The 16,155-nt window shown below is 35.3% G+C and overlaps 1 protein-coding gene across 1 annotated transcript in view; it reads right to left on the reverse strand.

Moving 5' to 3' along the window:
* KMT2C (lysine methyltransferase 2C) overlaps positions 1-16,155 on the reverse strand; it is a 301,079-nt gene that overhangs the window by 53,098 nt on the left and 231,826 nt on the right. The window contains exons 26-31 of the mRNA NM_170606.3: positions 14,912-15,042; positions 11,257-11,437; positions 7,885-7,989; positions 6,418-6,546; positions 6,207-6,239; positions 5,987-6,106 (exon numbers count right to left, since the gene is read on the reverse strand). Coding sequence (NP_733751.2) covers positions 5,987-6,106; positions 6,207-6,239; positions 6,418-6,546; positions 7,885-7,989; positions 11,257-11,437; positions 14,912-15,042 — 699 coding nt within the window. The remainder of the gene's footprint in view (positions 1-5,986; positions 6,107-6,206; positions 6,240-6,417; positions 6,547-7,884; positions 7,990-11,256; positions 11,438-14,911; positions 15,043-16,155) is intronic.

The following is a 16,155-nucleotide window of genomic DNA, read 5'->3' on the forward strand; positions in this document are numbered from 1 at the left end:
TTTTCTTGTATGCCAAGCTCCATAGGGCCAACATTTGACTTCTGTATTCTCAGATTTTGGTTATACCTGGGGGTCCTGGAACCAAAGCCCCAAGTACAGAAGAGATGCTTATACTTCTAAATCAAAACCTTTAATGCAATTTAAAAGTAGGATTTTTTTCAGTATTTTATAATACTTAAAGAGTGACTTTTGGCTATAAGATTTTGAAATATGATCTCTACAGCTGTGATTATTTCATTATTGTGTACTAGAAATAGCAAGTGTTCTGGAGTCCAAAAGCCCAGGGTGTGAACCTCAATTTTACCTGTTAGAAGCAGAATCAATTTCTATTTCTGTAAACCGTAGGTATTCTGTTATTTGGGTTAATTGAGATAATGTATGTACAGCTCTAAACATAGTTCCTGGTATGCAGTAACTATTCGACACAATTAACTCCTAAAAAACACTAATGAATCACAGCAAATGCTAGTAAGTTTTATCAAATATTCTTTCTCTTCATTAAAAATTTACAAACAGATGTTTCTTATATTTTATTCCTGTTCCTCTTAATACCAAAAAAAAAAAAAAATCTATGATTCTTTCCTTTTTTTTTTTTTTTTTTTGTTTTTGAGATGGAGTCTCACTCTGTCGCCCAGGCTGGAGTGCAGTGGCAAGATCTCAGCTCACTGCCACCTCTGCCTCCCAGGTTCAAGCAATTCTGCCTCAGCCTCCTGAGTAGTTGGAATCACAGGCACTTGCCACCATGCCCAGCTAATTTTTGTATTTTTAGTGGAGGTGGGGTTTCACCATTTTGGCCAAGCTGATCTCAAACTCCTGCCTCAAGTGATCCACCCACCTCAGCCTCCCAAAGTGCTGGGATTACAGGTGTGAGCCACTGTGTCCACCCCACCTATGATTCTTAAATTGATACTTTCTCTAAATTAGTTTTGAGTAAGCAATATATCTATCACTAAAAATCAGATGATTATTCCTAAAAATACATACACTCTGGTTTTGGCCTAATTTTTATAACTTACAGTTCAGCCCCCAAACACATTTGAATTCTCATTCGAGCTTATTCACAAACATCAAATACCTTATCGTTTTCTTTCTGAATAGACATTAGGCAAATAAAAGGACCATCTTATGCTTCTTTACAACACTCCTTTAAGCATGTAACTCCAGTCCTTATTGTGAAAGTCTACTTGTCTAAACTATTTGGAACTAAGCCAACTGTCCATATTGGAGCAGTTTCCAGAAAAAAGAAAGAACAACAACAACAAAAACTTTGTTTACCTTCAAAAAGCCCTCCCAATTAAACTTGATGATTTGTGGAAATACACAAGGCCTCTGTTAATTGTTGCAACACTTAGAGCCATACTATTACAGGAGATCCACATCACCAATTAATTACACAAATGGCAATACAGAGTTGACCAATACTTGGTATAACTAGAGAATTCCTAACCTGATCACTTGATTTTTTTTTATCTAATGTCATTCCATTAGATTAAAAAAAAAGTCTCATACACGTACATTTTACAATGTATAATGATCTTTCACTTAAACCACATCATTTGAATGTTACAACACTAAAACCTACATAGCTCCAGTATGTATGTGCAGATACTAAGGATGATCACTGACAAGTTTAAAAGATTTTGTCTCAAAGACTTCCTAGAACTCTCTGACTTTCACAAACGGGCTTACCCTACTAAATGCCACAGCTGGGTCCACTGGATCAGGTTTTCACAATGACAAATATCTCATGACACTTACATTTACTCCAAGGATTAAAGGGCAAGATTTCTGCTTTTTTCAAACTAGAATGCCACATCTATTTTCAACTTCAGTGAAAAGCAGGTTCCATTAAGGCAGGGGTCCCCAACTCTGGGGCCACAGACTGGTACCAGTCCATGACCTGTTAGGAACCCGGCCGCACAGTAGGTGAACAGCGGGCAAGTGACCATTACCGCCTGAGCTCCACCTGTCAGATCAGTGGCGGTATTAGATTCTCATAGAAGCGCAAACCCTATTGTGAAGTGTGCATGCGAGCATGTTCCTATGAGAATCTAATGCCTCATGATCTGAGGTGGAACAGTTTCATCGCAAAACCATTCCCCAACCCACCAACCTGGGTTTGTGAAAAAATGGTCTTCCTTGAAACTGGTCCCTGGTGCGAAAAAGGCTGGGGACTGCTGCGTTAAGGAATGTGCAATTTTAATAAACAATATCAAATGTCTTTCATGTAATTAGGAGAAACAAGAGTTTATTGACAAGGAGAATGTGATCCATACTGTAGCTAGGTATCAGTGCCATCTACCGATATTACAATAATAATCTTGTAATAATCTACAATATTAACATATTGAAACTTTTCCCAATAGTAATATTAGCTATTATTTGTTAAGTACTTTATGCTATGCTAAGCACTGTCTTAAAAGCTTTACAGCTTCATGAAAACCCACTGAAATAGGTTATTATGTTCAGCTCCATTTAAGCAAAGAGGACCCACAGAAATTAAATAATTTGTTCAAGGACAAATAAGTAAAAGCAAAGTATTTCTTCTTATTTTATTCAAGAAGTGGTCTTTTTTTTTTCCAAGTCTACCATATCTACCCAAACTAGTCATATTAGTTTATAAAAGTTCAAAAGTTACTTCACAACTTTTACATAAAGGTATTTCAAGTTACTCTATCTCAATCTTGAAAATTCTATTCTCTACTTTCTGAACTTTATTACCATCAGACAATAAAGCATATTACATATTACATAATAACATATTACACTTTGCCTCCCCTTTCTCATCAATTCTATTGAAGTTACTCCACTGAAGATTAGCAACAACCTTCCCATGGTCCAATGAAACAATGTTTTTCAAGTAGTCATGTTACTTAACTGTACAACCTGTCTCTAATGATCATTCATTTCCAAGATCCTATACCTCTCACTCAATGTCTCAAATCTCTCACCACTTTTTTTACTTTCACCTAACCTTTAAAAGGAAGAAAGATAAGAAACATGTAATTGCACACCTAATATAAATCAGATGAGTTAAGCATATACTTAATTACATTTAATTAAAAAGCATTCCTCGAGATTCTATACTCTACTGGCAGTATATTCTCTTAATAAATCTCATCCTTCCCACATGTGCAATTAGCACAATTACACAGATAATTCCTACATTTTCATCCATCTCCTTGACTAACTGCAACTGCCTGTAAGTCAAAATAGTGTATATGTCCCATTTCTACCAACCTAAAAGAGGTCTAAAACTAAATTCATTGTACCTCCACTACCTTCTACCAGCACACACACTAAGTCTTCCTCTGTTTCATGATTATCCTCTGGGCCCCTGGTTTATACATAGTCTAATTCACTTTAATTTCCCCCTTTCCTCACACCTTATATCCATTCAGTAGCACAGTCCTACTTGTTCTAATGTCATTTTCTCTCGTATCTATTCCTTCCTTTCAATCAGCACGGAAGTATCTTTACATGGAACCTACTTTTTAACTTAGTCTCAACCACAATAACCTCATTAGTACAATTCTTCTCGTCCCAAATTTATTCCCAATATTGACACCAGAGCTACCTTAGCAAAACACATAAGTGATCAGATCACACCAGTGGTGTAAGGTCTTCAAAGGCTCTTGGAAGCCTCTAGGGAAAAGGCTAGCTGCCTCTGCCTATTTCTCAGAGCCCTTTACAATCAGCACCAATGTCCACTTCTAGTTTTGCTTCCTTAAACAATGCCCACTCCCTTTGCTCTGGAAAACATTAAAGTTGCCATTCTTGAATAACTATGTGTCGCCCTATATGTAACTTGATCATGCTTTGCCCTTACATTAGAACTACTATTCCTTCAAACAAGAACAATGAAATCTTAGTGATTCACAAGGCTGTACTTGAATTATACTGTACTATAATACACATTAGTTGTATACCTGAAAGTCTACAGTATTAGAATTACAAACTCCTAAGGGTAGGCAACCTGATTCACCTTGTATTACACATTAACACCTTGCAAAAGAAAAAAAAAAAAAGAAAAAGAAGTCATCCTCCCAAGACCTTTTAAAAATGAGACTGCACAATGAAGTGATTTTCATAATGATTGTAAGATGTTTTTTATAAAGAAATACATCTTTGATTTTTAAAATATGCACTTTCAGTTCAGAAAACATAAAGACAGGTCATTTTTATATGTTGAAAAGAGAAATACTGAATAGTTCTTAATCGTTAAAACAGCATATGGGGGCTGGGCGCGGTGGCTCACGCCTGTAATCCCAGCACTTTGGGAGGCTGAGGCAGATGGCTCACAAGGTCAGGAGTTTAAGGCCAGCCTGACCAAGATGGTGAAACCCCGTCTCTACTAAAAATACAAAAAATTAGCCGGGCACAGTGGCAGGCACCTGTAATCCCAGCTACTCGGGAGGCTAAGCCAGAAGAATCGCTGAACTCAGAGGGCAGAGGTTGCAGTGAGCCGAGATCACGCCACTGCACTCCAGCCTGGGCGAAGGTGTGAGACTCTGTCTCAGAAAAAAAAGAAAAAAAAAAAGCACATAGGAACAATTAAGGCAAGAATAGTTATATGATAAGTATATTACCCAAATGTAAATCACATGTTTAGCCTAGCAAAAATCAAGGTAAATTTATGTTTAGAGGCTAAACTGGTAAAAACACAAATATTTCCATTATGTGCATTATGGAATTTTCATGTATATACAAAGTTGTTAGTAAAGGTTACAAATTATTCACACACTTTGGCACTTACACAAGAAAAGGAGAAGATATCCTCATGTTATTCAATTCAGGGTATAGTCATGAGGCAGTGACAATAGGATAGAGAGAGATGTTCCTATGCTCAAATCATCAGAAATATATACTAGCTGCGCACAGAGGGCCACGCCTGTAATCCCAGCACTTTGGGAGGCCATGGTGGGAGGATCACTTGAACCCAGGAGTTCTAGACTGGCCTGGGCAACAAAGTGAGACCCCCACCTCTGCAAAAAATCAAAAAATTAGCCAGGCATGATGGCGTGTGCCTGTGGTCGCAGCTGCATGGGAGGCTGAGGACAGTAGGATCGCTTGAGCCCAGGAGATCGCAGCTGACGTGAGTTGTGTTCACACCACTGCATGTCAGCCTGGGTGACAGAGCGAGACCGTTTCAAAACAAAACAAAAATACATATAGATAGAGTTATATACACGCCACCATGCAACTCCATAAACTCCTTCCTATAGATTCCCATACCTGTACCAATTTCCCTATCTACTCATACAGACCTTAATCCTAGGCTATCAAATTTCAGCTCTACAGAAAAGGGGAGAAATTGGTAGCTAGTTGTAAGTAGGCAGAAGAAAAATGAACAAAATAGGCAAACATTCACAAAATTTCATAGTGTCTACAGGGATAGAAAGGTCACTGATTTACTATGAAAGTATGTACTGAACACATACTCTGTGGCAGGGCATATAAGCAAGACATGGACAACTCTAGCCTTTAAAGAGCTCACAATCTAAAGGGAAGACATAATTACCCAAACAGGTATTATATTTGTGCCATATGCTACAAATGAAAAACATGGGGGTGGGGTGGTGACCAGCTAACCTCTGAGAGATGACAGTGAAACCGAGGGCAGATCAATGAGTACAGGCAGCCAGGTGAGCGGGGACAGTTCCACACACACACACACAGCAAGTGCCTATGTGGCAAATGACTAGAGTGGAGTGAGCTGGGAATGGGACTTGCAGGGAGGGAAGAGGGCAGGCACTGTTACATCCTCCCCACTGGACATAAGGATAATTACAGAATTACAGAGAATTTCAGGGAGACCGCTATGTGAAGTCAGTATTTTTCAATCATTACAAAAGGGTTTTTCTCCCTATCAGTTTGTATACGTGGCTACTAAAGAATAGGGCAAAACTTGCTTGTGTGTGTATATGTACCCACATATATACACATGTGTGTGAATATAATGTAGAATTATAAAGTCATAACATACCCTGATTGTGTATTGGCAACAGCTGTGTTGGTGGGGGAGGCTGTGGCAATGGAGTTGGCTGAGTGTTCGCAGGACTAAGTACAGCTGTAAATAAGTCTTCAACATCTTTTCCGCCAAGCTCTAGGAGATAAAACAATAATAGTAACAAGATTAAAAGACTAGTAGGGTCCTGGTATGGGGAACGCCATTTTCATTAACTAGAAAATCAAAACACATTTACCTGGAATTTTATATAATTTTCCAAGAATTGCTCCTAGAATAAATTAAAAAAAAAAAAGAAACATTAACAGCTACTAATTCAATATACTGATATAAAATAGTATTTAACTGACAGAAATAATTAGAAGTTAAATTATAACCATGCAAAAATCTTTAAAAATCATATTTACTCAGGTCTTTTAGAAAGCCTAGATGTAGGGCAAATATTTTACCATCTGTGACCATTTTGTCTAGTTCAGGACTGAGGATCCCATCTAGCTGTTCTTCACTTAATGGTCGTGAACTCTGATTGACATTTGGCTGAGGCAAAGAGGAAGGATCATCAGTGACAGGACCAATATCTACAAGAGTAAGGAAAATAAATTTAAAGGTACATTCAGAATACTCACACAAAAATGTATAGCACTATTTACCTGTACTTAGTATATAACAATATGATTAAAATAGAGAAATAAAGTCTGTAATTCTGAATCAGAATTCTCATATCAATTTGGAGAGTCGCTCAGTAAAAATTAGGCACAATATATTTGTATTCGGTGCCATGTAAAGTTCTATTTCAAGTAAAAACATTTCCTGAGGAATAAAAGAATACATCTGATTTTAACTTGCCAACTCCTGCCAAAAAAAAAAAAAAGCTTAAGATAGGAGTTTATGAGAAATCGATATGCAAATAATTGCTTTAATTTGGAAAATAGTGTTATCAAATGTACAGTTCAATTATTATGCACAGTATGTAAAAAGGAATATGTTTCATATGAATTAATGAAAAGCCCTAAAATGCTCAGTGTTTAATATTATCCTTTGTAAATAACTTCAATTATAGGTAATATTTTTAAAGTATTCTATAGGCACATTCTGATTATGTACATTACATTTTATAAAATTGTAACATGCTGCAGCTCAAATTTGTAAGAGTCACATGTAAAAGTGGTTTATCATCTACATTTTTTTCATGCTTTCTCAATATTATTACTATTAAAAAGTAAAAATTTAGTCTGTTCTTATTTGATCTTATATTAGGAACTAGCTCTACGACATTTAGGTAATATTGTAAACCACATATTAACAAAAATAAAATTATTCATTAAAGAAAAACTACTGAGAAAGTCACCCGAAGTACAGTACAGCTATACTATGCTTTAGCCACACACAAAAAGGGAAAAGCAAAGTATGGATTAGTGACAAATTAGCACTACTGATAAACAGCATGCACCTACAGGTTGTTTCAGCTGAAATCACTATAAAAAAAGAAGACTACTTCTAGTCAGCCGTCATCCATTGCTCAGTTTCTTACCAAATGGAAAAGGTGAGCTCTCAACCTGGAAAGTGCATAAATCAAGACCTATAAGACCCAAACCAAATAAAATGGATGATTACCACAGGAGCAGGAAGTGAGGGAAAATACAAACAAAAGAAGAAAAAAGATACAGCAAGACTTTAAGGCAACATGCCTTAAATGTGATGCAATTAGAAAGACGACAGAAATTAACTAACTTGCTATACCCCTCCTAAAGCAGGAAAGCTGAGGCAGATCAAAGAAAATGCTGAGTCCTTTAACAAAGCCAAAAACAAAAACACAGTTACTGGGAAACAGACAAAAGGCTAAACTTGTTCCACACATCATACACCTCTCGCTCACATCAGAAACCAGAAAAAGGGTAAACAGTATTCATATATACCTGAATGATCAACTGATTTTGCTAGATCATCTGAAATTATTCCAAGAATGTCATCATCTGTGTTTAAAACTTCAGAAATATCAGCTAATGGGTCATCAGCAGGACCTAAATATAGTAAATATGTTTTTTAAAATTTCAGTATTTTCTCAGATATTAAGCCATTTGCTAAAAACCTAGAGTACAGCAGATACTGAGTGAGGCAAGTACTGGAATAAAAACCTGAGACTCTTAATTTTACAGTAAAAATTTTCCATAGCAAAGGAGATAATGTTTTGAATTACAAAAATTTACTAAAAATTCAGACGATTTTGTCTTGTGACTAATGTATATTGAGACAAAATTTAAAGACCTGTAGGCAATAAAAGTGAAACAGAATAAATGCTGTAAGAAACAAAGCAAAGAAAAAAAAGTTTTTCATTAAGAAAGTGGCATGTCTAAAAGTGACATTGAGAAATTAAAACACAGTAGGAAAAGTTAAAATATGAAAGACAAACCTGTCACTCTTTAGAAATTCCATATGGAGCACAAGCCAGAAATTCCATATGGAGCACAAGCCAGGTACCATCTAGTAACTACTTGCAGCTTTGCTGTTCATACTGATTACTCACTCATTTATTTTAAAAAGTATTTCACTACCCACAGAACTGTGTCTATGGATCACGTATCAGGCATTGCCCACTCAGTAATGACTGAAACAAAGTGCCTGCCCTCAGAGGGCTTACTTTCTCAGGGGGAGTTAGTAAATAAACGACATCGCTGTAAGTGCTATTTAAAGAAAAAACAAGGAAAAAGGATTAAAAATAAGCTGCGGGGATGTTGTATTAGACAGAGTGGTCTATGAAGACCTTTAGGAGATGACTGAGCATAAAACTAAATGAGGGAGTAAGTTATATGCACAAAGATGGAGATAACCCTCCAAACTAAGGCAAAGCAGACATAAAGCCCCTGGGGCAAGCCGGGTTTGCCAACGAGAGGCCAGAGTGTTAACAGTAAGAAAAACTGTGGTAAGGATAAAAAAGAGGCAGCTAGGGCAAGATTATGTTAAGATTTTAGAGATTATGGGGAAGACTGGGTTTTATTCTGAAGTGTAATGAGAAGTTGCTGGGAGGCTGAAAGATAGGAGATGACTAATATTTTAAAGGGAACATACTGGCTGCTATATGTAGAGCAGATGAGGGGTGGGAATTAGAGAGGGGCTGGTAAGATTAGAAAAGGGCACTGGTGCAGTCTGAGAGGTGAGGTGATGACAGCACCAGGGTTCTAAGGAAAGCTGAGACAAGTGGTCGGCTTTGGGACGTATTTTGAAGGCAGACACAAACGTGGATGAATGAAAGGGAAAGAAAAGTCAAGGAGGATTCTACGGGTTTGGGCTTAACCAAGAAACTATTGGAACTCTTGTTTAGGCTAGCTTTAATAATTATATTAGTCATTCAGTAAAGAGAAACTGAAATTTTTAATCCATCTCAAGCTTATTTTTACTTAAAAGGGGGAGGAGGGCATAAATGTAATATTCCAGGTCAAATACTTCTGTCAAACAGTCTTGGTCCCATTATATAGTTTTCAAAATGTAATTCATATGTAACATATCACATTAAGTTTTGCGTGCCCAAATATCCAGGAACTTTTTAGAGAAAATTATTTCAATAATGACAACACTGTAGTTGAATGAAAAAAAATCTGGATAATTTTTTTAGGAGTCATATAGCAGTTTTTTGTTTTAAAGTAATGGAATTCTACTATACAATTATAACTAATTTTTTAAAGACTGTTTTACAAGTTTGCCCCTACCTAAAGGATTTTATATCTGAATAAATCATTAAAATTGATATAATAGGCTACAATGAATGACATGTTAAAAAAAAGCCTTTAGTCATTAATTTTCCATTATAAAGTGAAAAGAGTAGTTCAATTGCAAAGAACAATTAATCTAGGTTTTGAAATGGGTATATTTTTCTAGTCCTCCAAGTTTTGGCCTTATTGTAAAACTGTTCTCTCTTCAGTATTTTTGTGGAAAAAAATAAATAAAGAAAAAAAAAAACTTGTATCAATATCTTTCCTATATGTTCTCTGTCCAATTTCAATCCTTTTGCTTTTAAAACTCAAGTGCAAAGAGCTCCTATTTAAGTCTTCAAAGTGGCTAGTTATGAGAGTTATAAGATAAACTTTATCGTAAAATATCCTTTGAAGGACCCACAGGTCTTTCATTATACATTATTTTTAACAACATACTGACAAGGACAAGAGCAGGTCATACTTAAAACAACAGAATTAAAGTAGGAGGTAAAAAATATGTAAGATTGAACAAACAAGAAGCATGACCTCACTACCAACAATGAGGCAGACTGGACATGCACATGTGTCCAACACGGGGTAAGATTGCTTCTAATTATTTCAAAAAGTCAAAATCAAAAATAGTTGTCAGTATTTCAATTCAGGATAATGCCAAGTTAATGAAGCATTAACTACTTAACATCCAAAGTCATTTTTCAGTGGAAGATTGCTTTAAAATTGTTTTTCAAAATGAGTTTATAAAATTAACTGAGTAACAAATGCAATTAATGGTAAAAAAAGGAAGCTTACCAAAAGAACAATGATTTACAATTGACAGAACCATAGGGGAGAAGTGGGAGAAACACTGATCAAGACACTTACCTACCCAATGAGTTAAACTCCTAGAGCCTTGCTGACATTGCTGTAACTCTGTAAATACATCAAGTTCTCATACCTTTCTCTGATTGTTAATAGTTCCTGCATTTAGGATAATGGTTCTCAACCGGGGGTGATTTTGCCCACCAAAACCAAAAGGTATTTGGCAATATCTGGAGATATTTTTGATCATCATGAGGCCAAAGATGCTGTTAAACATCCTTCTATACACCAGAAAGGCTCCCTCCCACAACAAAGAATTACTGGTGCAAACTGTCAGCAGTAAGAAACCATGACCTAGGGCAACAGACTTCACTGTAGTAACACAGTATGCCAGCAAGTTCCCAAGTACCCCCACATCCATTTCGGTTTCTCTGTTTTGAATTTAAGCTGTATGATTAACAAAAATCTATCTTAGATTTTTAGTCAAAAAGTCACTGTTGGCCAAATTATAACCCCTCACATTGCCCTCAGCAAAGTGTAAACCAAATGTTTTCCTTCACAACTCTTGATGTTGGTACTAGTTACACAGGTAAATTAATTTGCTACATCTTATACACCTGTCCACTTAAAATAGTTCCACTTACTGAATGTAAGTTATACTTCAATGCTGTTGATTTTTAAAATGCATATGAGGCCAAACAAAAACATTTCAAAAAGATTTAACTGAAAGGAAGATGTATGTTATATGATATAAAGAAAATATCTGTGAATAATTCTACATACCGTGAGTTCCAGATTTTGTTGGAGCCGAGGATGAACTAAGTAGTGGATCTAAGGAAGGATCCAAGAAACCTGTGTTCATGTTTGTTTTATATAAAAGCTGAGCTCCATCTTCTGACAGATTATCTAAACTTATCTTGCTTTGTCTACTTGTATCTAGAAGATCTTTTCCAAAGAAAGCTTCCTAGATGAAGATAAGCACATACAAAAATGGTTAGAAAATTCTAAAAAGACAATAGATTATTCTGTCATGGTTTTTGACAAGGAAGCAGAAATAACAGAAAAGGTTTATATTTAACAATATAGAAACTGAATACAGAAGTATTAAAAAATAGAAATATCCTGTCAATTATTTTATATAGATTCTCCTTATTTTAAAAATAAGATTTTTTGGTAGCTTTACTAGAGACAAAATTATGGAAATAAAACCACACAATTATACCAAAGGTTTCTAGAAACTGCAGAATAGCTTCATGAGTATTATTAATTTTTATAGATTACTTGCAGAGGACAGCATAAGACTTTGATCTACGGCTTTAATATTTACTTCAGGTAGATTTGTAATCTATTGATTCATATAACCACACTTACACTATAAGACTACTTACATCATCAATCTGAAAGACGGTTTTATAGTCAGTTTAGCCATACTATGTGTGCAATATTTACAGCTACTAAAGGCTTGTGGTTTTCTATTTATTTAGGCATATTAACATTTTTCCATTTCAATATACTTTCAAGCTGGGTTCCTTGCAACTCCAAGATCTCTCCAAAATTTCTCAAAAATCAATACCAAAGACAAAAGGGAAGCACAGTTCCACCCCTTTACCCTGCTTCAACCCAGGAACTCTGCTTTAGTCTATATCCTATGATGTAGTCTATCTGGAAAAAGGATCCTCCATACAGGACAATTTTGCAATACAACATTTAACACATTCTTGCCAAACATGCACAAAAAAGTTCACTGTAGCATATTTTGTAATGTCAAGAAGTAAAAATGGCCTTAATGTCTATCAACAGGCATAGAACTATCCAAATTATAGACACTTATATTACAAAATACAACAATTTTTTAAAAGTATATAGTTCTATGTTATCAAAGAAAAAGCCCTAAAATACATTACTAAAAGAAAGTAAGTTGAATTACACATACAGTAAATTATAAAATACAGGTCGGGCGCAGTAGCTCACGCCTGTAATCCCAGCATTTTGGGAGGCCGAGGTAGGTGGTTCACTTAGGCCCAGGAGTTAGAGACCAGCCTGGGCAACATGGCAAAACTCTTGACTCTACACAAAACACAAAAATTAGCCAGGCATGCGCCAACATGCCTGTAATCCCAGCTACCTGGAAGGCTGAGGCACGAGAATCACTTGAACCCAGAAGGCAGAGGTTGCAGTGAGCTGAGATCACATCACTGCATTCCAGCCTCAGTGACAGAGTGAGGCTGTCTCAAAAAAAAATTAGAAAGTTCAAATCAAGACTATTATAAGTTTGCAAAAATAAATTATAAAAAAGTTTCTGAAGGACAAATGCCAAATTATTAACAATACTACCCTTTGAGAAAAGAGATTGGGAGTGTGTGAAGTCTGGTGGAGGCAATGATATATCTGATTTGAAATGTTCACATTTTAAATGAAAAAGTCATCTCACTATGAAAAATCTAAAAATTCACAAAACTAGAATACCAGGTAGAAGAGGATTCATTTCTTATAATAAGCAATGCTTTTATCATTAGAAAAAATGATGAACAGCAGAAAGCGTTTTAGAAGTTTAGAGGTCATTTATTTAATGCCTTCAGTATAAATCTGAGAAATCTTACACCATCATCAGCAAGAATTCTGTCTAATGACTCATGACTTTACTGGTGTTTATCAAAAACTGTGTCACCCTTATTAATTTAGTGTGTTTTACATTCCCTGTAGATAACATAAAGAGGGGGCTCCATCCATATCGTCTCTAAAAGTCCAAGAAAACTACCATTAAAAAGGCCTCCCTCATGTCACACATACAGACACAGACACACACACACACACACACACACACACACACACACACGCTGAAAGTTACTGATGTGCAACAGGGGAACAAGACGGCCCAGGAGACTAAGATCACAGCAGTAATTGGGAAATTAGACCTAATAATTTTAAAGACTCTTTTGCCAAAGTATTAAATGGCTAGTTTTCATACTTGCAGAAACACCTAAAGAAAGCTTCTTAAATTTATATTACACTTTACAGAAGGATCAATAGGAGGAAAAGTAGGTTGCCATCACAATATTCCTAGAAAGGACTATTAAGAAGGGAGGTAAAGGGAATCCCAGGAGAAAACAACAACAAAGATGAAAAAAAAAAAAAAAAAAAAAAAAAAGGTAAGCCAACCTATAAATGGATTTTTTTTCCTGACCAATTAAATGATCGTTTAAAAAAAAACAAAGGTGCAAACCTAGGATATAAGAGATTGAGGGGAAAAACATGTATGAAGGATATACAAAAAGTAAGGCACAGGCTAGGCACTTTACATACATACTCTCACTGAACTTCTGAGCATTTCTGAGAGGCACCACTATGTCACAAATGAGGAAACCGAGACACAAGAGATGTTAAACAGAACAAAATCACACAGCTAACTGGTAGTGGAATGGTGTTTAAATCCTGACTTTATAGGCTGAGCTCTAACATGAATACTGCCATTAAGATGTTAGTAGCTACAAAAAAGAAAATTGAGGAAGTTGTATGCTAGTTGAAAGGCAATGTATTTTAAAACCAATTAAACTAGTAATACCTAACTGGAAAATTGATGTAAAAAATAAATGCAACTCAGGCAATGAAGGGTTATCTGTGTAAGCCATAGTTTCTTAGGAGGAACAGATCAGATGAATAGTTGTCTACAATGAAATGAGGATGGCCTCTCAATGATAGTCTGTTCCAGTTCAATTTTAACACATGAAGAAATAGAGGCCAGGAAGGATGAATAACACGCTTAGGAATTTACAATTAGTTAGATGCAGAGCCAGATATTTAATCTCAGTACAATTTCTAATATTGAGCTGTTTCCGTATCACATGGCCTTAAACTCTGACTTAATGTTTACAAGATGAACTAGAAAAAAATTTTTTTTGTAGTCTACATCTATCAAACATAATTTATTCGTACTGAAAGGTATTTTTCTGATGTGTATTTTGGAAAACAAAAAGAATACTGCTTAAATCTTTGGTTCTCCAGGCCTCTAAAAGTGGTAACGATTATTAAAGCTATAACTTTGGCTGAAAAGCCTATCTTTAATCAATGAATATAATTAATGTAACTTGTATTGGCAAAGGAAATTTCAACAGAACTTGGGTGTGGGGTATACATAGCTATCAATGACTTGGAAGATTGAGTTTTTCCTATCCCAAAGTGTCCTTGTTACATCTTATAGAATGCTTAGAAGTGAACAACTGGTATTAAAAAAGCAATTTATGACAAGTATCAAAGCACACAAAAAAAGTAAATTTAATTTTTATGGACCCCTGAAAGGTAAAAATGGCATTTATGATGACTAAATGACAACAAAACAAGTAAAACATTAACAAAAACAACAAACCTATGTTTTAAAACTCAATACATTTTATTTCCTCAATTAACAAACCATGTAAAATAATGTAAAGCAAAATATTACTTGTAAATAGGCAGGGAAAGTTTCTTCAAGCTTATTTTTCCTTTTTCGGTATCTCTTCTTTATTTTTTCAGTGCTTTCAGTAACAGAAACAGATTCATCAACTAAAGTATCTGGTAACTGCTCACTCCAGCCTGAAACAACAGTCACATTTATAAATATGTGACATTTAAAATTTCTAGACAAACCCACTGAAGGTAATTTTATACCTTACCAACATACACACAGTTTCATATAAACAAACAAGCTTTTTGAACAAAAAAATCTCAAATCAAGTTTGTTACTTTTAAGTGCCATAAAATTTTGATTTCATGTCTACTTAGTATTAGCATTTTTCCTATTTTCTTAATAATCGATTACAAAGCAAAAACGTATTTATTTAAACATATTTTGTTAAAGAGTAAAATAATAATAATAATAATAATAAATACCCAAAGCTCATGAGTATGACGAAATGGCAACTTATAAACTATTAAGAGAAATTCTGTGGGTGTAACTTTTTTGTAGGGTGTATTGAGAATACTCAACAAAAACCTTAAAGAAAAAGTGTGTCCTTTAATACAGCAATTCCAAGTTCAGAAATTTATTATAAATTATTTGTAGGATATACACATTGTGAAAACATGACGATGAATATGCTAATAAATATGCAATGAACACTTATTCTTGAAATCAGAAATGGAAATAAATTTGGGGACTATGAAACTAGCAAAGAAACAAGAACACAGCTTAAATTTGACAAATAAACAATCAAATGATATTCTCAGATGCTTCATAATGGCAGGGCAAATGGCACATCCCTTCTGAAAATCAATATGGGCACTCTACCACCAGACTACGTAAGTGAATTGACTCTTCTGAAAACTAGAAATAGACAAACATTTTTTACAACAATCTTTTTAAAGGCACCAGTAACCTAGCCAGAACATAAGGAATCCATGAAAAACAAAAATTAAGATAAATAAGGAACCACAGAAGTAAGCAAAAAAGTAAAAGCTCTCCGAAATTTGCTGAAATCCAATGACCTCAAACTCCAATTTTCAGAGCATTGCGAGGAATAGGGAATAGAAGACAAAGCTTAAGGCCTCTCTCCAAGGCAGACAGGCCAGAGGTGACTTGCATAAAGCTCAGGGTCAGTTTAATAAGAAATACACCTTCACACAAACCATCACTTGCCACCTCCTGCTCACCACCAATAGCAAAAAAAAAAAACAACTCCTGGCTGGATGCAGTGGTTCACGCCTGTA

This window comes from Homo sapiens, chromosome 7 (assembly GCF_000001405.40).
Source record: "Homo sapiens chromosome 7, GRCh38.p14 Primary Assembly".
Taxonomy (NCBI): Eukaryota; Metazoa; Chordata; class Mammalia; order Primates; family Hominidae; genus Homo; species Homo sapiens.